The following is a 25,628-nucleotide window of genomic DNA, read 5'->3' as shown; positions in this document are numbered from 1 at the left end:
ACCCAGATCCTCTGTCTATGAAAAGAAAGAGACCTATATATTTTGTTCTACATCCATGTAGAATCATTTTTTAACATTCTATTGAGGTATAACCTACCTACAGAAAACAGCCCATATCGCACGGTGGCTCATGCCTTTAATCACAGCACTTTGGGAGGCCAAGGCATGTGGATCACGAGGTCAGGAGATCGAGACCATCCTGGCTAACATGGTGAAACCCCATGTCTACTAAAAAATACAAAAAATTAGCTGGGCATGGTGGTGGGTGCCTGTAGTCCCACCTACTCGGGAGGCTGAGGCAGGAGAATGGTGTGAACCCAGGAGGCAGAGCTTGCAGTGAGCCGAGATCGCTCCACTGCACTCCAACCTGGGCGACAGAGCAGACTTCGTCTCAAAAAAAAAAGAAAAAGAAAAGAAAACAGCCCACACCATAAGTATACAGCTCACTGGATTTTTACAACGTCAACATGTGTGATCAAGAAGCACCCCGCTCACAAAACAGATATCACCAGCAGCCCAGAAAACTCTCACACATTCCTTGCTAGTCACTAACCATTCCTCACCACTGATGCCTCCATCAAAAGTAACCACACCCTGACTTCTAATAGCACAATTCAATTTTGTTGCTTTTTTGTACTCTATACTAGTGTAATCATACAGTATATAGCTTTGAGGTCTTGATTCTTTTGCTTAACGTGTTTGTGAGATTCATCTATATTGTTGAGTTGCAGGGTGTTTATTCTCATTGCTCTATGTGCTCCATTATGTGACTATACCAGCTTATTATTAAGCTGTCATAGGAACTTTGACATTTCCATAGTATCACAATTTTGAATAGTGCTGCTATTTTGTTTTAAAGAGAATTTAAAGTTTTTGCTATTAAGGGTGGGCAGTATATTTGGAAAGTGGCAGAGTTAATTTTATAAGTGATTTTATTGATAACCTTGGGAAGAAAATATCCACTGCTCTTATCTCTAAAGTATAATCAATCTACCTCTAGTATTTCGATGCCGAGGAAAATGATTATTTGAATACACTGTGTACAAGATTTCATTTGGATTTCCTCCCATTCAATATTACTGATGATTATTCAGCAGCATTCATCAGGAGTTGATTATTGACAGGACATCAATCATTTGTTATAAGAACAGGGTAGACCATGATTTCAAAAGGGAGTTAGAGATTGAACTGGTCACACAGATGTCTTGCCAAATTTCGTTTGAGATATCATAAGAGAAAAAAAAGAACAAGGAAAATATTTGAAAATTTCAAGATCTGTTTTCTGAAAACACATAAAGCTTTACTATTTAATTAATCTCAATTCAAAGCTTTTTTTCCATGGGCTCTGCCAAGGGGACTGTGATAAATGACACATAAAAGTTGCACATACTATGATGTTGATAAAGAGGATTCTATATTATTTAGCCAGATTAGCAGTCTTGCATGTCTGCACACTAAACACTGGTTATCAATGATTAATGGACGACATGCTTGAACAGTGCTCTCCTACTCGAGCTAATGAACTAAATAGTTTATTTCATGCTCCATTTCCACAAATAAATGGCTGTAATACATAATGTGATAATAATTTCTGATTTCTTTGAAGCACATTTTCTTGTCTAAAATGAACAAATTTTTTTAAAAAAATCAAATTTAGTCAAACATTGCATTAATGTGATTTTACATGTTGGATAAATTATGAAATGTTGCTGAAATCAAAATGTTTACACCGAAGGGAATAGAGTTGTTAAAATTAAACAACTTAAAAGGACACCATGAAGAGGTTTAAAAAAGAGCTCATAATAGGCTTTTCTCTTACTTTCATTTCAACTACCTTCTTGGGTAAATTTACATAACTAAAAAGCTATTCTACATATTTTTATGATTGTAAATAAACATTATTATTTCCTTAATCATTATGGTGTATTTCTTATACAGCAGAATTATGATTTAGCTTTCCATATCTAATATTAACTTCAGTGAAGAAGTAGAAGTTGTGTATTTTGTATACAAAAATATACAAAACCTTTATACTGAACAAGAACAATCTATGGGATGTAATACCAGGCCACCCTATTTTTGACTCCTCTCATATTGACTGTCCTCTAAATCTAAACTATGGAGTTAGTTCTTCCCCTGCCCCTGAATGAAAACTTGGGCAGACCCCATAACATCTCTGGTCTCTTTTAGGTAACATAAAAGTTTCAATAGTCACTAGAGATCACAGCATCTCAATATAGCAATTGATGTGATCTTTTCTTTGTAATTATCAAATATCCAAACTTGCTTTAAAATTGAGGCTTCTAATTAGCATTCCTAAATCCTTTTCTTTCTCATCTCATAAACCCTTTTTGTGGCCCTTCAGGTAGAGAGGAGGTAGGAAAAGAGTTCTCTTTCAATTGGCATTGTCATCCTTGTCTGGCACCTGTGCTCTCTTCTGGGTTCAATAGGTGTTTAAAAACAAGTCTATTTCTTGTAAATGCTGGTGATGTTTCACCTAAGACAAGTTTCCTTATAGAGGACAGCATATCTAATTTATACTAAGTCATTTACTTATTTTTTTTAGCACCGTGTAACCCAGCAGTACCTTCAGATTGTTTTTACTGAGATCTATTTTGTACCTCTAGTTAGTTTTTTGGACAGGGCCTAAGATCAATAAAGCCAGCTTTTTCCTCCTGGTTTTTGAAGGGAAATTCATGCATTCTCTGAGGGTACAAGCCATGTGCAACTCAGGAAATTCTTCCTTGCTTTGCCATTAGAACAGCTAGCCAGAGTAAATCATGATGTAGATTGCACAGGTATAAATAGACAACAGACCACTAGGTCCTCCAATTGCAAATGACACGTTAAGTACTCTGAGCCACCGCGCCCGGCCAACATTCTTAATAAATCATAAAAGGCACTTAACACAAAGATGAAAACAACATATTCTATGACATAGGTTTTATCGAAAGTTGGTGGGACTACAACAAACTAAACAGTGTCTGTACAGAAAAAGAAACCATCAATAAAAAGAAAACAGAATGGGGGGAAATATTTGCAAAACCATGTACTGAGTAAAAGCTTAATGTCCAAATATATAAAGAACTCATGCAACTCAGTAGCAATAAAGCCAAATAATCCTATTAAAAATGGGCAAAGAACCTGAATAGATATGTTTTTTCTAAAAAGTCTTACAAATGGCCAACAAGTATAGGAAGAAATGTTCAAAATCATGGATCATCAGAGAAATATAAATATAAATCAGAAATATAAATATAAATCAAAGCCACAATGAGATCTCACCTCACACCCATTATGATGATTATTATAAAAAAGACAAGAGATAACAAGTGATGGCAAGAATGTGGAGAAATGACCTTTAATACTGTTGGTGGGAAGGTAAATTGTTAACAACTGTTTTGGAAAAAAGTATGGAAGTTCCTCCAAAAAATTAAAAATAGAACTACCATATGATCGAGCAATCCTACTTCAGGGTATATATCCAAAAGAAATGAAATTAGTGTCTCTAAAGGATATCTGTACCCCCAAGTTCACAATAGCCAAGATACAAAAATAACCTATGTATCCATCAATAGGTGAATGGATAAAGAAACTGTTGTGTGTTTGTGTGTGTATATGTGTATGTGTGTGTGTATATACATATATTTGTATATGTAATATACACACACACATACATATATACATATAATATATATTATATACATACATATATAATATATACACATACATATATGTACATATACTATACACATATATAATGAAATATTATTCATATAAAAGAAGGAAATCCTGCCATTTTTGACAACATTGATGTAACTGGAGGCAATTATGCTAAGTGAAATACACCAGACATAGAAAGACAAATACTGTATGATCTCACTTATATGTGGAATCTAGAAGAGTTGAACTCACAGAGAAGCAGAGAGTAGAATGGTAGTTGCTAGGGTCAAAACATGGTGACTATAGTTAATACTACTGTACTGTTTACTTGAAATTTGTGAAGAGAGTAGATCTGAAGTGTCTTCACACCCCACCCCCCTGCCACACAAAAAAGGGTAACTGTGTGGTGAGGATGTCTTAATCTGATTATAGTAATCGTTATACAATGCGTATGTATGTTAAAACATGACATCATACATCTTTAATATATATAATTGTTATTTTTAAATTACACCTCAATAAAGCTGGAAAAAAAGAGTCAGATCCATTTTTTGTCTATGAAAGGGTAAGATTTCTGCTTCTAGCCATGATAGAGTAACAGGGACCAGATTTACCCTCCTGCCTTGAATAACAAAAACAAAAACAGACAAAATACGTCAAACAACTGTTTCCAGACCTTTAACAATAAGCAACATAGGACAGAAACTCCTGAGAAAAGGGAAACAAATGGTGAGAAGGGAAAAGCTGAACTCCATGCCTCAGTGTATTATCTTGAGTTTCCAGGCTATAGCAAAAGCTGAAAAAATTAATCATGAACACATGAGCATTATAAGACATGTCGAAGGAATTCTTCAGGCTGAAGTACAATGATATCAGATGGAAATATAGATCTAAAGAGAGGAATAAAGAGCAGGAGAAATTGTGAATATATGGGCAAGCATAGCAGAGTTGAAAGCTATCCCCAAACTCACTTAAGCACAGTACATAGGGATACAGTGATTAACAAAGAAGGAAGGAACCATGCTAAAAACTGTTTTTTGTTGTTTTTGTTTTTTCCTTATCTTTCAACTTTTATTTTAGATTCAGGGGGTACACGTGCAGGTTTGTTACCTGGGCATGCAGTGTGATGCCGAAGTTTGGGTCAGGAATAATTGTGTCATCCAGGTACTGAGCATAGTACCCAAGTTAGTTTTTCAATCCTTGCCCCCTTCCTTCTCTCTCACCTCTAGACCTCCCCAGTGTTTATTGTTGCCATCCTTATGTTCATGAGTACCCAATGTTTAGCTACCACTTATAAGTGAGAACATGTGGTATTTGGTTTTCTGTTCATGCATTAATTCACTTAGGATAATGGTCTCCAGCTGTGTCCATGTTGCCGCAAATACTATGGATGCATAGTATTCCTTGGTGTGTATGTGCCACTTTTTTTTTTTAAATTATAGTTTAAGTTCTAGGGTACATGTGCACAACGTGCAGGTTTGTTATGTAGGTATACATATGCCATGTTGGTTTGTGGCACCTATTAACTCATCATTTACATTAGTTATTTCTCCTAATGCTATCCCTCCCCTGCCCCCCGCCCCATGACAGGCCCCCATGTGTGATGTTCCCCACCCTCTGTCCAAGTGTTCTCATTGTTCAATTCCCACTTATGAGTGAGAACATGTGGTGTTTCGTTTTCTGTCTTTGTGATAGTTTGCTCAGAATGATGGTTTCCAGCTTCATCCATGTCCCTGCAAAGGACATGGACTCATCCTTTTTTATGGCTGCATAGTATTCCATGGTATATATGTGCCACATTTTCTTAATCCAGTCTATCATTGATGAACATGTGGGATGGTTCTAAGTTTTTGCTATTGTGAATAGTGCCACAATAAACATACGTGTGCATGTGTCTTTATAGTAGCATGATTTATAATCCTTTGGGTATATACCCAGTAATGGGATTGCTGGGTCAAATAGTATTTCTAGTTCTAGATCCTTGAGGAATGACCACACTGTCTTCCACAATGGTTGAACTAGTTTACACTCCCACCAACAGTGTAAAAGTGTTCCTATTTCTCCACATCCTCTCCAGCATCTGTTGTTTCCTGACTTTTTAATGATCGCCATTCTAAACTGTTGTGAGATGGTATCTCATTGTGGTTTTGATTTGCATTTCTCTGATGGCCAGTGATGATGAGCATTTTTTCATGTGTCTGTTGGCTGCATAAATGTCTTCTTTTGAGAATTGCCTGTTCATATCCTTTGCCCACTTTTTGATGGGGTTGTTCATTTTTTTCTTGCAGATTTGTTTAAGTTCTTTGTAGTTTCTGGATATTAGCCCTTTGTCAGATGAGTAGATTGCAAAAATTTTCTCCCATTCTCTAGGTTGCCTGTTCACTCTGATGGTAGTTTCTTTTGCTGTGCAGAAGCTCTTTAGTTTAATTAGAACCCATTTGTCTATTTTGGCTTTTGTTGCTATTGCTTTTGGTGTTTTAGTCATGAAGTCCTTGCCCATGCCTATGTCCTGAATGGTATCGTCTAGGTTTTCTTCTAGGGTTTTTATGGTTTTAGGTCTAACATTTAAGTCTTTAATCCATCTGTACCACATTTTTTTATCCAGTCCACCACTGAAGGGCACCTAGGTTGATTCCATGTCTTTCATATTGTGAATAGTACCGCAATGGACGTGAGAGTGCATGTGTCTTTTTGGTCGAACGATTTGTTTTCTTTTGGATGTATACCTAGTAATAGGATTGCTGGGTCGAATGGTAGTTCTGTGAGAAATCTCCAAACTTCTTTCAACAGTGGCTGAACTAATTTATCTTCCCACTGACAGTATGTAAGTCTTCCTTTTTCTCTGCAGCCTCACCGACATCTATTGTTTTCGACTTTTTATTAATAGCCATTCTGAATGGTACGAGATTGTATCTCATTATGGTTTTGATTCACGTTTCTCTGATAATTAGTTATGTTGAAAATTTTTTCTTTTATGTTTGTTCGCTGCTTGTATTTCTTATTTTGAGAAGTGTCTGTTCATGTCTTTTGCCCATTTTTAATGGGGTTATTTGTTTTGTGCTTGTTCAATTATTAAAGTTTCTTATGCATTCTGGATATTAGATCTTTGTCAGATGCATAGTTTGTGAATATTTTCTCCCATTCTGTAAGTTTTCTGTTCACTCTGTTGATAATTTCTTTTTCTGTGCAGAAGCTCTTTAGTTTAATTAGGTCCCACTTGTCAATTTTTGTTTCTGTTGCAATTGCTTTTGAGGACCTAGTCATAAATTCTTTCCCAAGGCCGATGTCCAGAATGGTGTTTCTTAGGTTTTTCTTCTAGTATTCTTATGATTTGATGTCTTACATTTTAAGTCTTTAATCCATCTTGAGTTAATTTTTGTATATGGTAAAATGTAGGGCTTTAGTTTCATTCTATATATGGCTAGCCAGCTATCCCAGCACCATTTATTGAATAGGGAATTCTTTCCCCATTACTTATTTTTGTCAGCTTCGTCAAAGATCAGATGACTGTAGGTGTATGGCTTTATTTCTGGGTTCCGCATTCTGTTCCATCGGTCTATGTGTCTGTTTTTGTACCAGTACCATGCTGTTTGGGTTATGGAGTAGTATGAAGTCAAGTGTGATGCCTCTGGGTTTGTTCTTTTTGATTAAGATTGCTTTGGCTTTTCAGGTTCTTCTTTTTTCTTTTGATTCCATATACATTTTAGCATAGTTTTTAGCAGTTCTGTGAAAAATGACATTGGTAGTTCGATAGGAATAACATTGAATCTGTATATTGATTTGGGCAGTATGGGTATTTTAATGATTATTTTAATCCATGCACATGGGATGTTTTTCCATTTGTTTCTGTTTTCTACAATTTCTTTTAGCAGTGTTCTGTAGTTCCCTTTATAAAGATCTTTCACCTCCTAGGTTAGATGTATTCCTAGGTATTTTATTTTATTTTTTCTGTCTATTTTAAATGAAATTGCATTCTTGATTTGGCTCTCAGCTTGAACTATATTAGTGTATAGAAATGCTACAGCTTTTTGTACATTGATTTTGCATCTGAAATCTTCATAAAGTCATTTATCAGTTATAATAGCCTTTTGTCAGAGTCCTTTGGGTTTTCTCTGTATAGAATTATATCATCAGTGAAGAGAGATAATTTGACTTCTTTTTCTATTTGGATGCCTTTTATTTCTTCCTCTTGCCTGATTGTCTTGCTAGCACTTCCAGTACTATGTTGATTAGGAGTGGTGAGAGTGGACACCCTTGTCTTATTTCTAGTTCTCTGGGAGAATGCTTCTACTTTTGGTTCAGTCAGTATGATGTTGCCTGTGGGTTTGTCATAGATGGCTCTTGTTATTTTGAGGTATGTTTCTTTGATGCCTAGTTCCTTAAGGGTTTTTATCATTAAGGATATTTTGAGGTACGTTTCTTTGATGCCTATTTCCTTAGGGGTTTTTATCATTAAGGATGTTGGATCTTTTTGAAAGGGTTTTCTGTATCTATTGAGATAATCATATGGGTTTTGTTTTTATTTTAGTTCATGTGGTGAATTATATTTATTGATTTGCATATGTTGAGCCAACTTTGCATCTCAGGAATGATGCCTGCTTTGTCATGATGAATTAACTTTTTGATGTGCTATTGAATTCAGTTTGCTATTATTTTGTTGAGGATTTTTGTGTCTATGTTTATCAAGGATATTGACCGACCTGTAGTTTTCCTTTTTTGTTGTGTTTTTTTCCAGGTTTTTTTTTTATCCTGGTGATGCTGACTTTGTAGAATGAGTTAGGGAGGAGTCTCTCCTCCTCAATTTTTTTTTTAAATAGTTTCAGTAGAATCAGTACTAGCTCTTTTTTGTATGTCTGGTAGAATTCAGCTGTGAATCCATCTGGTCCAGGGCTTGTTTTCATTGATAGGTTTTTAAATTACTGATTCAATTTTGGAACTCGATATTGGTCTGTTCAGCATTTCAATTTCTTCCTGATTCAATCTTGGGAGACTGTGTTTCCAGGTATTTTTTCATTTCCTCTAGATTTTTTAGTTTGTGTGCATAGAGGTGTTCGTAATAGTTTCTACAAATCTTTTGTATTTTTGTGGGATCAGTTGCAATGTCACTTTTGTTATTTCTGATGGTGCTTATTTGGATCTAGTCTCTCTTTTTTTCTTTGTTAATCTAGCAAGTGGTCTATTCATGTTGTTTATCCTTTCCACTTTTGGTTTTGTTGATTCTTGTATCAATTTTTTGGGTCTCAATTTCATTCAGTTCTGTTCTGATTTTCGTTATTTACTTTCTTCTGCTAGCTGTGGGATTAGTTTATTCTTGTTACTCCAGTTCCTCTAGGTGTGATGTTAGATCATGCCTAACAAGTCTTTAGGAAAACTGACAGATTGCATTGCACTAAAGTAGCCAAAATTTTCAAACCAATCTTCATATCTACAAAGTGTTTTAATACTATCCATGCCCACCCAGAAGGACAAGATCAACAATAATGAAAACTGAAGTTGAAGAATTTGGTAACATTGAAATATTCATTACTTTTGAGCCCTGTGTCCTACATGCTTAAGAAGAAAAACATAGCAAAAATTTTTTGTTGTATATTTTTAATATGTTGCCCAAACATAGTGGATATTGGAAAAGCACTTTAAGCATTTCGGGAGACAACTGGAGTCTATTGGTTTGCCTGGAACACAGATTGGAGAGAAGGAGTTATTTTTTGGTCTGGGAGTAAGTGTTGTACAAAGGGAAAGAACTCAATGCAGGTGAACTTCATGGTGCTCAGTGCAGACAGGACTCCTGGTGCCTTCCAGAAACATCTTTACTTTTCCTTAATATAACAAAATAAATAATGTCATCTTTGAAATACTAAAATTATAGATGATCGTGTAAGGCAACAAATTTTCTTTACAGTAAAGTTAATGTATTTATTGAAGAAAAGGATACGCTTTCTAAATCTTAACATATATGAATAATTAGTATTTATTTTTATATAAAAATTTTCAGTTGTGTAAAATTTAATTATACTAACATGGTATACAGTTCTTCAGACATTTGAAAAAGGCTCATTCAAAATACTTCATGGAAAGCAATTCCACATATATTGCCTCACATATATTTGAAACTGTCCTGTTAAATTAAATTTGGCTTAGAGCTGCCTCTCTAAGTAGCAAAAAGCAACCTATCTTAGTATGTGAACAAACTGTAACCTAACTTAAGAATATATTCTTGTAACAAGTAGGTGAGTCTTAGCCAATCATAGCAGCTGAGCTTCAGCCAATCACAGACTGCCAACAGCCAATCACAGACTGCCAACTGATCAGACCATGTCCATATAAAGCAAATGCCTCATCACACCAGGCCCAAATGTGGAGCTATAATCAACCAAGCTCTTTATGTACATTACTTCCTTTTTCTGTCTACAAATATTGCCTGCCTACACTGACGGGTGGAGCTAAATGATCTTCAACTTGTTCAATGTGCTGCTTGATTCATGAGCTTTGCTTAAATAAACTCTGCTAAATTTAATTTGTCTGAAGGTTTTCTTCTAAATATAGATCATATTAACCTTTCAGAGTATTAGTGATTACTTTCTCACAAATATCAATTTTGGAAAATTAGGAATTTCAAGTCTAGAAATATTTCAAAACAAAGTAGTAGACATTATAACAAATGTTGAAAACTTGTTTTAATTTGAATTTTTCCTTTGAATTACTGAATTCTTATGCAACCACAATATTTTGATAGCCATTTTTTTTTGTTTCTTTTTCTGGCTAGCTTGTGATATCCTGGACAGCAGGGCATCTTACTCATTCTTACATTTCCAGCGCCTCCTATAGTGTTTCTTAATACATAATAGAAAATAAAAAAGATCTTTTGGCAAGATCAGTCATTTTGACTTTGATCTTATTAGTCTGCACATAGTCTCTATCAGTAGCATCATTATGGAATAAGATGAGTATTAACAATTAGATATTTAGAAAATCTGATTACATTGTAACTGTGAAGGATGTAGGAAGAACACTTTACAATATGAGGCTGAAGGAAGCAGCATCACCAGTTCATCAAGCTAGGTCAATATACAGACACAAGGCATTTAGATGTAATTCCTTCTTTTTAAAGCATTGGAATAAACACTTGGAGTAAGATAATTGGCATGTTGAAAATCAACCTCAATATGCTTAAAGACACTGATTTCTAGACAACTCAATGATATTAATAAAACAAGTATTAAATGAAAGTGTTTTGCATTGTACATTGTGAAATTTTTTCCTTTTCATGACAATTTTACATGAAATGTTGAAATAACTGTTCGGCTCTCTTCATCACTGTAACACTTACGTGATTACAGGAAGTTTCTTCTTCAGATAAATGTCTTGTTTTAGTCATTTACTTTAGGAGAAAAGTATATATGTTTAAATGGGTGTAAATTGTATAATCCTTGACCATCTTTATTATACTGAGTAGGCTAAGCATACACAAATCAGAAGAACAACAGGGCGCCTGGGCAATGGATTTTGCTCTGTCTCTGAAAATAACTTCACATAGTCCTCTCTCTTTATCTAAAAAACTGAAAACATACATTTAGTATAGTTTTTATAACAAAGGAGATTTACTCGCTTAGATAAAAGTAAATAATATATACATATTTTTCTTTTTTTGTTTTATGATTAATATTTCAATTAATTTTGAAAAAGTTATCACGTTGTGTGTCCTGGTCTCTGGAGTCAATTTACCACACACAGTTGGGAAGAAGGGATTGTTAGACAATTATGTTCTCATTGGCTTCTCCACTAGAGTTTTAATAAACGATCCAGCAGGCAATAAAAAAGTCATTTCTAGTTATTGATAAATGTTTGTGTAGTAGACAAATACCCAGAAGGCAGAATAGCAAATTAAGAAAAAAATCCTTTGAACAGACCAGTTAGCAATAGGGCTTTTAAAAAAATTTCAGCTCCATTTAGAGGAAAAGTGTGGATTTATACCATAGGATTGAATTGGGTCTTTGGTTTTTGTGTTCATAAATTTACGTCTCACTGACTTTGCTAGTACATTTTCCAAAACAGTATTCATTTATATTGGTTACTATAGAAACTAAAAGTGCTCCATTCCTATGTAGTTCTTTGCACATATTCCCTCCCCTTTCTTGTTTTTCAAGTCTGCTAAATTGCTTTATGTGGCATTTCATGTAGAATAATCTTTGTTTTCTTAAATCTTTCATGAAGCAAAGCTTCATAACTTCAAATGTGTTACTTTATATTAATCTAAATCATAATTTTGATTTGTGAATTTTGCTAAAAAATGACTAACTGAATAAAACAAATGTTTTCTAAATAAAATCTATATATCAGTAGACAGTTTTAGAATAACTCTAAATGTTGCTTTGCTAAACAAAGAAGAAAAAATTAAAAATAATTTTCATAACCAAAGGGTGAATATTTTGTCAAGTATTATAATCAGGTACATACATAGGAAGCAGTTATTGAGTAACTATTGTGGGCCCAGTTTGTGATGCGCTTGAGGGAATACCAAGACTTGGAAAATGGAGTTGTCTTCAAGGTTTTTACAAATCAGTTCAAATGTAGAAATAATAAGCTGTAGAAATTAAATTTTTAAGTCCTGTCACTTGAGAAATCTGCAGAATATGTGTGCATGTTACACAGTGATTAAATACACTGATGAGCCACTTTTTTCTCTTCTGTAAGGTTAGTCATATGCATCTGTAAGACATGTCCTCCCCACCAATATTTCTTTTCCTATATCAGTTTTAATTCCAGGTTGCTTCCCTTTCCTGTATCATTCTCCCAATAATATTAAGGCAGCATGTAGAGCTGAATGAGAATGTTGAACTCAGTATCTAGGAAACCAGAAATTTAGCCCTATACTGTCACTATGTAGCTGTGAATCTGTGTGCCCTTGAGTAAAGTCACTTTCTTTCGCTCTACTTCATTGTTCAAATCAATAACGTGAGAGATTAGATGAGGGTTCTTTAAGATCTTGTGTCATACTAGGAAACTAATTTTGATTCTGTTATCCTAAAAATCTATTTTTTGATACTATTGTGGCATTTTGGACTTCTACGTGATCTATATAAAGTACATGTTGGAAGTCCCTGAAGTCCCTTGAAATTATGCTGGGAATGACAGCTGAGTAAGAGAGCAGAGACAGACCTTTTAGTGTGGGTCACCTTGAGGTTTCAGTGTGTTGACAAGTATGCAGAATGGCCACATTTTAAGGGCTGTTTTCCAATATGGTAGGACCTCTGAAAAGTGGCCTTGTGATTGGGCCATTAGGGATCCACTATCTAGGTACTTTGTGGTTTAACTAGTATATTGCTCTACCAAAAAGCCTTTTTTTATTTGGAAACACCAGAAGCTCAGAATCCATCTACTGTTTTACATATACAATGTGAAAACATCTTAGTGTCTACAACATATTTTCCCTAAAGCCTTATTTTAGTTTTCAGTAGATATATTCACCCTCTTAGCAACTGTCAAATGTTTGAGAATTATTGGACTAATACTAGGTTTGCCTATGTCTTCACTCTCATTGTGAATGTATATTGTTTCAGTTTTACAATGTTATTATGAGCAATAACACTGTAGATGTGAAAACATTTTGTAAACTAGACAGTGTTATAGAAATTATATTATTGCTCATAATAAATGTTTTGGTGTTTTTACCGTCAGAAAACTATTATCATTTTTGTTTGTTTGTTTGTTTATTTCTTTTTTGAGACAGAGTTTCGCTCTTGTTGCCCAGGCTAGAGTGCAGTGGCGTGATCTTGGCTCACAGCAACCTCCGCCTTCCAGGTTCAAGCAATTCTCCTGCCTCAGCCTCCTGAGAAGCTGGGATTACAGGCATGTGCCATCATGCCCGGCTAATTTTGTATTTTCAGTAGAGACGGGGTTTCTCCATGTTGGTTAGGCTGATCTTGAACTCCCGACCTCAGGTGATCTGCCCGACTTGGCCCCACAAAGTGGTGGCATTACAGGCGTGAGCCACTGCGCCCGGCCTTATCATTCTAATCATAGCGTTTTTACTTTTAGTAAAAGTAAGGTAATAAGTGGCAAATACTTCTTTCACACTTCTATGTCTTTCTCTAAATTGCATCCACTATCATCTACAGTGCAGTATTCTCAGCCTCTTTTCTGAATGTGGCTTAAACCTGACTCTCCTTTGAAGACTTTGCCTCCCTCTCAGAGTTCTCACGGTTAGCTGTTTTCTCTTTTATATCCCTCATATCACTGGCCTGGAGTTCAGGTCTTCTTTGTTCCTCATTACCGTTTCCATACCTTTTATGTCTTCTTTTACCGTAACCACACTCTCCCTCCTCCCAGTCTAGGCTCATTGTAGTCTGTCATTATATGATACCACTCTTTAACAATATGGAACTTATTATACACCAGATATTATTCTAAGCACTTTATAGATACCCATTTATTTAATCTTTACAGCAATTCCATGAAGTTGATATTTTTGTCACCATTATCTGCATCTGACGCGTAAAGTAACTGAGGTACAGAGAGGCTAAGTAACTTGCCTGAGATCATAGGTTTAGTAAGAAGCAGAGATAGGACTCAGGTGCTGGCAGTGTGGCTCTACTGCTCATGCTTTATCTACACAGCCTCCATCTCTACTGCTTCTGCACCCATTTCTCTCCACCCCATCACTGATTTATTTTCCTTCAAAGCATTTTTTACCACCTCAAATATTAAATATTTGTCTATTTATTTATTATTGGCCTCACCCTACCAAAATGTCAACCGCAAAAGTGGAGACTTTGTTATTTTGTTCAGTGGTCACCAGTGCCCAGAATATAGTAGGCATTTAAAAATGTTTGGTGAGTGAATGAATGAGCTAAACAGTATACCATGTGTTTCTTTGCTTGAACTGAGACACTGCAAACCCACCTTTCTGCTTTGCAGGCAGGCTGGTTCTCTGTTAGGGTTTGCCAATAGGGGCAACTAGAAGTTTGCAAAGATAGAGGAGGTAGGGGTACTCATGCCTGCTCCCTTCAGCATTTCCCCAGCAAAGTTTCTTTATCTCAGAAGCAGTGTCAGTTCTTTCCATAGCTGCTGTGGATATCAGATTGCAGTTTTTCTAACACTCATGTAACCAGCCTTATTATGACTACTCAGGGACACCAGAGCTAGCTGAACACTGCCCCTTCCTCAGAGATCTGAGTTCAGTTCCATGGGTCCCTTCTCCAAGCATCTAAGTTTTATCATTACAACCTTTCCCCCTTTTTATTCCCAGCTCCTGGAGGTGGTAGCTGCTCTTTGTATGACTATCTCAATGATTTCTTAATATTCCTTTTTGTCTTTTCAGTTTTCCAATTAAGGATAAAAAATTATCCTTAATAATTTTTTATGTTATATTCTCTGTGTTAATAACTGGTATGGGTTTTCTCTCCTGTCTCCCAACCAATACAAAGCTGGTATTAGGAGTAGTCTCAGGAAACAGACCTTCAAAGATGAGATTTGGGGATTGCATTGGTTGTATGCTTGAGCTTGAATACAGTACTGAGTTCTGTGCAAATGTGTAATGAGATATTAGTAATATATGGTATATAGTGTCATCAGGATTAATAAAATTTTCATCTGCTGTTAACTGTGTGGAAGTGCCTAATAATCAAGTGCATTGGTAGTGCTGACCATTATGGAAGTGATGACGACTACAAGCACTGTGGTATGGAATGCTTTTCTTTGAATGCACTGGAGCACTCAGAGAAGAAATTCAAACCCAGGTCTTTAAGCTCCCAGCCAAAGTCATTATCAGAGAACCAGAGAGCTGCTTAAAAAATTCCTTGTTTCTTATAGCTTACTGAAAATCAGGCACAAAATTTAATTGTGCAGGTTGCAGAATTACAACATAAGTTGCAATCTTGCCAGATCTCTTATGTGATAGAGAATTGATTGGAAAAGAGTGAAACCTTGAGACTTGGAGTAGAGACATCTGAGTGGATTCATACTTAGCATGAGGTTTAGTCAATGGCTATTTCCATGAAAACTAATATAAATCAGAAGGCAAAACAATAGTGCTTTAAATGATTAATAGTAAAACTGCAATATACATTAATGTTCTTTAGTAGAGGGATCCTATCCAGGAGTGGTCAGTCCATATGTCAAATTGTCTCTGCCCAATGAGTCACTGGAAATGGGAATGTTTGAGTCTGTCAACACTGAAAAATGGTGTCAGTGGGCTGTACTGGTGGGAACCATTACTGAAAGCTCTCTTGTGATTCATGGCGTCTGACGTGCTATAGCAGCCAATCTGCTTGTCATCAGCAGCTGTCAGAATGCCTCCCTGCTTCATTGCTCACATCTATATGTGTAAAACTCCTAGTTTTGCTCCTCCAATAAGTCACTGTTTTACTGTTTTATACCACATTCTCATTCATTCTGAGTTGAAAGAGCCACAGTCTGCACCAGCTGCTTCATGTGCAGGTACAGAGTAAGGCCCCAGTGATGAAATCTTTTCTTGGAATAAATACGTGGTGGGGAGTTGTAATGTTGAGTGTATGGTAATATCAACCCATGAGAGAAGAATTATAATAATTAAATGGATAGACCTTGGAATTAGAATAGTTTTGAAACCTGGTTTAGGTACCCACTAGCTGGGTAAATTTGGGCAAGTTAACTAAACTCTCGGACTCAGTTTCTTTATCCGTAAAATAGCAATAATAATACATTTATAGAATTTCATAAGGATTAAATGAAATAATGGAACAGTCAATGTAGTGGTTTCCTATTGCTGCTTTACCAAACTACTACAAATTTCATGGCTTAAAACAGCACAGCTGTGTTCTCTGACAGTTCCAAAGGTCAGAGGTCTGAAATGGATCTTGGCTAAAATCAAGGTATCAGCAGGGCTGCATTACTTCTGGAGGTTCTATGGGAGAATTCATTTACTTTTCTAGATTCTAGAGGCCACCTGTGTTTTCCTTGGCTCATGGCTCCTTCATCCACCTTCAAGGCCAACAGAGAATAGCCAACACCATAGCATCTTCAAATCTCTCACTCTTGTGCCTCCCTTTCCTACTTATAAGGACATTTGGCCCAGCCAGATAATTGAGGATAATCCCCTCATATCAAGGTCATCTGATTAGCAGCCCTAATACTCCTTTGCCATATGCACTAACATATTCACAGATTCTGAGTATTAGGACATGGACATATTTGGGAGGGCCATTATTCTGTCCACCACATTCAAATATTTGTTAAATAATTTATATGATGTGCTTAGTACTGTTCCTGACACATAGTAGGTCATTAATAGAGATTTATTTTTTTAGTACTGCCCAAAGTTCTAAAATATTTCTTTAGATAATTGGAAAAAAGAACATGAGCAATCTGGGAGATTTATGCAGATGATGACTAGTGTATGGATGAATCCATTTATTACTGGATGAGGAGAGCATTAGTCACCTACGGATCGTCCCTGGGGCTGATCTTGGACTCTCTCCTTTTCCAAGCTTTATCTGAATTATCTCACATGGGACAGCCCCTATCCTTTGAGCCTTCTTTTTAACAAAAAGAAGCCGACTTTTTAACAAAATCAGTAAATATGTTGTCATTTTTTAAAGTTCCACCAGGTATACATCATTTTGATATTTGTATACATCAAATGACGTATACATCATTTGATATTTGTCTGGTTGAATATAAATGTTAAGCATTTATTTGTTATTGCTAATCCTGCCTCTTAATGTTCTTGCAGATATCTGATGTGCTTAAACTGAGAAATTGCTCTCTAAAAAAACACTTAAGTTGGTCTGGCAAAATTATGTTTTCCTTATTATCTATGTTTCTTATTGTTACATACTGGAAACTCGTATGTTGGTTTAATATTTTAAAAAATATATATACATATATAAAATATTAGAGGTCTCAGTATGTCAGTATGTTTTGGGGCAATTTTCTATGGTATAATAAAACCTTGAAAAAATTGTGCAGTAAGCTATGAGGCTATGTTTATTTGTAGGATCTTCTACCCCTTTTTACCTTGTGTCACCTCTTTCCCTCTTTTAAGGATCTTTAGGGCCTACATGTTTTCTTCCTTCTTTTCACTATCAAAGTCTGCTCTGAAAAAAGGAAAATCCACAGAAATGTCATTTATAAGCTTATTACAAATGTTTTTCTTCTCTGAAGGATATTTGCATGTTAGACTGCATCTCTTATGTAATGCCTTTGCTTCTTATTAAAGAAACTTTCAGCATCAGAATTAGGAGAAGGCTTTTATGTTTACAGTCACATAAATATATGTGTAGAACTAATCCACCATACAGATCTGTGTACACTCTCTGATTTTCACAATCTGGATTCAATCCCATTTTTGGAAACTTAGAAATTTCTATTCTATCTTATTTGATGCAACATTAATATTCAGTCTGCATCAAAATACTTGATTTCAAGTAATGCCTACTTGAAATCTCTGCGGGTTGAGCTTGTTGTGATTTGATCTCTGTTAATTGATTTGGCATTCATTCTGAGGCTGGAATTGGAAAAATTTGTTTTACATAACTCTTTTAAAACAACAGAACACAAACCAGAAGGGTGGTGGTATAGTTGCTTATTTGTATGATTGAAGCAGAAAGCTTATATGTAGTGTTGAGGTGAGGATGCTTTCCAGTTTTTCCAAATGCATCATCAAAATTTTCTCTCAAGTCCCATGGGCTTCACACTTAAAAAGATCTAGCCGTGCACTGAATGCAATATAGTGTAATGTCATGTTGAAATTCAGAGAAGTGGGGATCCTATTTCCTTAGTCTGCCTTTTATTGCTGTCAGTGGTTTTCACTGTGACTCCTGGTGCCAAGTAGTTAGGAACAATGTTATCATCAGAGAGCAGTGTTTGGGTTTTAATGCTTTGTAATGCTAGAGCTGACAAGTCATACTTTTAGAATGAATCTCCAGAGTCATGTGCTATGCCCCATTTGTGTGTGCAGTAGCCTCTATTGTCCATGGAGAGCTTTGACCTTTCAGCAAGAGCTGAGCATGCCCAACATAAGGACTTATGTTGTTCAGCTGAGCTAGAACTTTAATCCATTGTACATTCAGTCCCTTAAACAAAGGATTATTTCAAATGCCTTCATGTGGTAGGAGTATATTTTTTTCTCAATTGCTCTAATGCTACCTTTGTTATGTGTATGTGAGGCTGTGTATTTTCACGAAGAGTTGATGTGGATATTTTTTAACCTACTTAACACGTTGGGGCTATTTAAAGCAAGCAAATGCTGGAAGTTAATTGAGGGGTGCTGTTTCTGTGGGCAAATCGTCAAAGGGTACTCAAGTTTTGGGGTCACATGTAATTTGCATAAAACACAGCTGTACCTCAGATTTTACCATCCTATTGCAAAAATTCTAGTCCAAGACTGCCTCCTTTAGCCTTCTCTTCAGTGAAGACTTATGCAGGGCAGAGGAGTCAGAAGGTGGGTTTATTCTGGATGGGGCAGTGGATTTTTCATAAGTATAATCTAACTCTAATATTGTTTTTATAGAAACTTCTGGTAGATATATTTATGAAAATGATCTGTAGTCATCCACAATCTAAAGTCAGAATTAATAGAAGGGATAACTATATACTTTTAAAGTTCTTTCTCAGCAAGTTCATAATTTGTCCCTGGGGGATTTTTTCTAAGCATTTTTTTTTTCTGAGCATGTTTAAAAACTCTGGTCTTCTTTTTTAATAAAGAATTTTTAATAGCCTTTCAAATTGCTGAATTTGCATTTTCAATAGTTTTCTGCTTGAGCATTTCTGCTTCTATATAATTAGAAAAATTCAAAGTAGAGCTTATACTTTTCAAATTTCTGTCAAAACAATGTTCTATTTAAAACTATATAATGTTAAATAAAAAGTTTTAAAAAGTGTGTTGGACTAAACAGAAATTTTCATCCAAAGGGTTCTTTCAAATTGCTATACATGGAATATTTGAGCCTGTCCATATATCATTTGTCTAAGGAGAAACTGGAGTTAGGAGGAGTTCAATAAGTTACCCAAACAGGTATGAAAATTTTCATTAATAGGTTTGATTAAGTCTGATATTCTCTCAACCAGGAGAGACAATGTTTTAGATTTAGAGATAATCTGGAGGAGTAATTTAATGTTTTATTATATATCCATTTTGTTGACAAAACCACTTGAGTGGTTTTATATATGTTGAGCTTTAAATCTACATATGGGATTTTGTTAAATTCTCTTTAATTTTCTCAGGAGAAATGGAAAAGAGAAAAAATGTTAAATCTGTATAGGGATTGTAAGTCTTTAGATAAAAATAGAAATGTTAAGACCTTATATTGATTATTAGTTGCTGCATACAAGAATGTTTTAGTCCTTTGTGTTGGGCTTTTTTTTTTTTTGGATTAGAAGTAGGTTCTGATTCTAATGTCATAACTTGGTGGTTTGAACTAAGGAGGAGCAGAACCTACCTAGGTAAAAAAATTGCTCTGTGGCCAGGCATGGTGGCTCACGCCTGTAATTCCAGCAGTTTGGGAGGCTGAGGTTGGTGGTTTACTTGAGGTTAGGAGTTCGTGACCAGCCTGGCCAACATGGGGAAAGCCTGTCCCTACTAAAAATTAGCTGGGAGTGGTGGCTTGCACCTGTAATCCCAGTTACTTGGGAGCTGAGGCAGGAGAATCTCTTGAACCTGGGAAGCAGAAGTTGCAGTGAGCTGAGATCGTCCCACTGCAATCCAGCCTGGGCAACACAGCAAAACTCTGTTTCAAAAAAAAAAAAAAAAAAATTACTCTGTAAGCAGTTGAATTCTGGTCACAATCCAGGACTATTTGGTGTGTATCCTTCTTTGTTCACATAACTCATATTCTTTGTAAAAAAGACTAACCTGAGGGCCCAGTGGCAATTATGGCATAGCCCAAATGAATGTACTACATTTGTCTCTATTGCTAAGCAATATCCATCCTAAAAGAGACTTCCTGGATTGTTGAAGCAGGGTTAGGTTAGGAAAGGGAGATGATTGACTGTTGTCACTAAGCTCCCGCTGTCTGACTCCTGTAATGTAGCGTAATAAAAGGCTACATCTATTACATTGATGTAATAGAACTAATACTCAATTTGATTTTCCCATATGGTGCATTAAAAAGAACTGACATAAACTTCCTTTTCACCTCCTTTATTTCTCTAGCTAAATTCTGATTTAATCTGAAATAAATACTATTAATCTAAAACACTTAGACAAAGAGTACTGGTAACTGTGCATTCTTATCTGGGAGTTATAATTTAAATCATATACCAGTGACTTCAAAGTTTATGACATAATAACATCCTCAGATCCCTAAATATGATAAGTGCATCATTCACTGGCTTTGCAGGAAAATGCTCTATTTGTGTAATTTAAGAAGAGTTTAATGAGAACTAGTTATAGATGTCTGAGCAGAGTATAGGGAAATCACAAAGGTTACCTTGAGGCTAGTAACATCATTATCCCTAGGCTGAAAGGGGAAGGAGAATATTGGTTTGGAGGCAAGAAAAAGTGGGAATGCTGTATGGAGAAAGCTAAGTGAGAGGGATCTTATAAAAGCTGTGATGTTTGTCTGAGAGACTCAGCCAGCTCGAAGCAACTCTTCAGTAAAGGAGCTGGGAGAACTTCACTATTCTGCCTCCATCAGATCTCTGCTAAGTGCACCTCATTTGCTGAATCCAATCAAAGTCAGAGAGCACTGCCACTCATTGTTGAGGTCCATTTGGCCCATACTGCTGGGGTAAAATGTAGGGAAAAGAGTGAAGAGAAGATCTATAATAATAAATAGAAGACAGAATAATATTTAATTTAAAACTTGAAGATTCAGAGGCACTCAAATATTTCTGAATGTTTGTGAATAATCATATGAATATTGATTTGAATTGTATACTTTTTTGAAATTATTCTGAATATGTACTAACTTACTGATGTATTCTGGAACTAACTTTATTGAATTAATAAACACACACACATACAGACACCCCTGACATCTTGTTATAGAGGTAAAGTGAGGAATTGTAAAATCATCCACACACAAAAAAACCAATATCCTTCTATCCCAGACTTATTTGCATTTTCTAGATGTTTCTTTTAGTAAAAAAAAAAAGACCAAAACAATATCTAAAAAAACTCTGCCATATATGTATATATATACGTATATATACACATATATATACATATATATACATATATATACGTATATATACACATATATATACATATATATACATATATATACACACATATACACATATATATACACACACATATACACACACACACACACACACACACAGACATATATATATATCTTTTGCCATAAACAATAATAGAAAGAAGGGTGGGACAAAAATTGTTCTGTAGCCTGTGATTAAACAAGGGTTACCAGAATAAGACATTGCAGCCTACACTAACAGTAAAACACTTTTTAGTCTGAGATATTTGGTAACATTGAGACTACACTATCTCAGGATGCTTCATGTCTTTGTTCCTTTGGCTACTACACATGCTAAACTTTGCCTGAAAAAAAATCTATTCTTTTGTTCTGTCAAAGCAAAAAATTGCATCGAAGCAAGCTAAACCAGCAAGGAAGACTTTGTTCAATGCTATTGTAATAAAAGAGAGATGAACACATTGTCTGAACTCAACTTCACTAAAACAAATGACGGGAGGATTTTTGAGAGACAAAGACCTGGGGTGGGGCAAAGCTTAGGTCATCTGTGCTTGCTAATTGGCCTTACCGAAAGGAAAAGTAAATTTTCTCATGTATTCATGACAGAAGGTAGTTTTACAGTTTGGAGCTGAATGTAGTCTTCTATCATCCCACAGAGAATGGAAGATAGGGGCACTATCTTCTTAGGTGACTGCATTTCAAAAGGATGGCTCCCAGGTCCTTGAGAAAGCAGTCCTGGATTGTAAAACTGGCAGGACGCTTTTAGAAAGATTTGCTTTTAGAAAGAAAGATTTATATCTTAGAGGAGCAGGGAAAGAATTTACAATTGCGAGTTTATTTTTTAAATAAATGCTCTAAAAAAACAGGTCCCAGAGAAGAAGCCTATCTGAAATTTAGTCAAGCTGAGGGCGACATAGGCCATCTTGGTCAACTCTCATACTCATTTGATTCCTTTTCTAATCTTTCATTGATCCCATCCAATTCAATCCTTTTACTTTGGGCATTTCCCTAACCCTCACAAAAGATTTCAGACATTGTCAATATACTGATGGCCTGCTACATCCATCTCTGCTTTAACTGAAGGTGCAGCTGACATTGATTCCAGCCTGGCGAGATCCAGATCAGAGGACTCATTTCACCAGTACCATGATCCTTGACCCACAGAAACAGAATAAAATTGGATTGTTTTAAGATGGGCTATTTGTGGTCATTTGTTTTGCAGCATAGGCATTAATACACTTCCTCCTTGTTCCTACAATCATTATAAACACAGAGGACAGAGGAAACTTAAAACTCTTCAATGTTTTTATGTGGCATTTAAAACAAAATAACAATTCTTGGTAGAATCTGTAAGTCGCTGCATCATCAGGCTCCTGTCTACTTGTTCAAGCATATCTCATGCATGCTTTCCTTACTTGGCCTTCCCTCCAGCCACAGCAGTTTTCTTACAGTTTCTAGAACATGGCATTTGCCTCCTAATGTGACTCTTTTTTGCTTTCTCTAATAGAAGCTCTCTCTTACAAACCCCTTCAGCTCCTATTAACCTAGGTAAAGTATATGCTCTCTTCACTACTTAATATACTTTTTAAACTTGATTTTAAACTTGTTTATATATTCAGTTTCTCCCACTAAACTGTAAGGTACATGAAGGCAAGAAGCAATGTCTAGTTTTTTTGTTTCCCTAATACCTAGCAGCAGTCATTGGAATATATAGGTGCTCAAAAATATTTCTTCAGGAAATAATTATTTCAAAAATTCAAGTTTCTTGAAAGTAGAATTGTTGGTAAGTTGTGTGCATATTTTAGAAACTTTATATATTCTACACATAAAAATTGTATACATGTAAGTTGCACAATGTGATGTGTTTTTTGTTTTTTGGGTTTTGTTTTTGAGACAGGGTCTCCCTCTGTCACCCAGGCTGGTGTGCAGTGGCGCAATCTTGACTCCTGTCATCTCTGCCTCCTGAGCTCAAGCGATCCTCCCATCTCAGCCTCCCATGTAGCTGAGACTACAGGCATGAGCCACCATGCCTGGCTTATTTTTAAATTTTTTTGTAGAGCCAGGGTTTCACCATGTTGCCCAGGCTGGTCTCAAACTCCTGAGCTCAAGCCATCCACTTGCCTCAGTTACCCAAAGTGCTGGGATTACAGGTATGAGCCATTGTGTCCAGCCCAATGTAATGTTTTGATATATGTATTATGAAGTGATTATCACAATCAACATATTCATCACCTCATATAGTTACTATTTTTTTGTGGTAAATGCATTTAAAATCTACTCCCTTAGCAATTTCAAGTATATAATACGTTATTAACTATACTTACCTTGTACATTAAATCTACAGAATTTAGAAATTTGATATGTATTTTCAAATTATCCATAATAAAGATTATATCGAGTCAAACTCTAGACAGAAATGTGGGAGATTATCCGTTTACTAGCACTTTATTTTTTGGGTATCTTTAAAATAAATCTTTGCTACTTTTACATTGGAATTATTTTAATTTTTATTTCAGAAGTGAATTTGATCTCTTTCATGTATTTATTGGTCTTATTTTTCTTCTTCAAGTTTTCTATTTATGCCTTTTGTTAATTTTCCTATTGTGTTATTTTTATATTGATTTTGGATATTAAGGCTAAATATGTGAAATTTCACACTTATTTTTCTTAGTTTCTCATATTGCATTTTATTTTTAATGTACAGAGATTTTAAAATTTTATGACTTCTGTCCTCACCCTTCTACTGAAGTTGCTCTTACTATTAATAAAATTACCAATAACCTCTTCATTGTTATAGCAAATGGGCATTTTTTCAGGCTTCATCCTACTTGTTCTATTCGGTTAAAAACAAGGCAATATAGGTCACAGTTTAGATATTTGCCCTATATTAATTCGTAGCATCTCTGCCATCACTAAATCATAGCTTTCAAAGTCATTAGAATTATAAGTAAAATTAAATGCTACTCAGCAAACTTGTTTTGATAAAATTAAATCATCAGGAGGAGGCCTTTCAGCAAATCTCTGTGGTTTTATGATTATAGAAATGGGTCAAACATGGTAATGACAAGCCTGAATAAAAAATAAAGAAACAAACACCAGAGAGTGAGAGTCAGAAGTATAGTGTGTCAGGCAAGAGTCAGAAACATGGGGCTACAAAATGATGTTGTAATAGTTTCCTAGGGCTGCAACAAGAAAGTATCACAAATTGAGTTATGATAACAAATTTATTCCCTCAAAGTCTGGAGGCTAGAAATCCCAAATTAAGGTGGCAGCAGGACCATGGTCCCTCTGAAGCCTCTTGTAGTCCCAGATATTCCTTACTGTGTGGCAGCATAACTCTAATCTCTCAATCTTTACATGCCCATCTTCCTTCTGTGTCTGTGCCCAAATTTTTCTTTCTCTCTCTCTCTTTTTTTTAAGGAGACATACTCCATCAGCCAAGCTGGAGAGCAGTTGCACAGTCTTGGCTCACTGCAAACTCCACCTCCCAGGTTCAAGCAATTCTTGTTTCTCAGTCTCCTGAGTAGCTGGAATGATAGGCACACAATACCATGCCTGACTAATTTTTATATTTTTAGTAGAGACAGGATTTTGCCATGTTGTCCAGGCTGGTCTCAAACTCCTGACCTGAAGTGATCCACCTGCTTCAGCCTCCCAAAGTGCTGAGATTACAGGTGTGAGCCACTGCACCCAGCCCCAATATTTTTCTTCTTATAAGGATACCATTTTAACCTAATTACATCTGTAAAGACCCTATTTCCAAAGAAGGTCATATTCACAGGTACTGGCAGTAGGACTTCAACGTATCTTTTGGGGAAATACAATTCA

The 25,628-nt window shown here is 35.6% G+C and overlaps 1 long non-coding RNA gene across 1 annotated transcript in view; it reads right to left on the bottom strand.

Annotated features, from left to right (window-relative positions):
- Nucleotides 1–9,239: 9,239 nt before the first annotated feature.
- LOC105370473 (uncharacterized) overlaps nt 9,240–25,628 on the bottom strand; it is a 31,105-nt gene continuing 14,716 nt past the window's right edge. The window contains exon 3 of the long non-coding RNA NR_135257.1: nt 9,240–9,479. This is a non-coding gene — a long non-coding RNA (uncharacterized LOC105370473). The remainder of the gene's footprint in view (nt 9,480–25,628) is intronic.

This window comes from Homo sapiens, chromosome 14 (assembly GCF_000001405.40).
Source record: "Homo sapiens chromosome 14, GRCh38.p14 Primary Assembly".
NCBI classification, from domain to species: Eukaryota; Metazoa; Chordata; class Mammalia; order Primates; family Hominidae; genus Homo; species Homo sapiens.
Note: the sequence above shows the minus strand (reverse complement) of the source record. Positions and strands in the feature narration are given on the sequence as shown.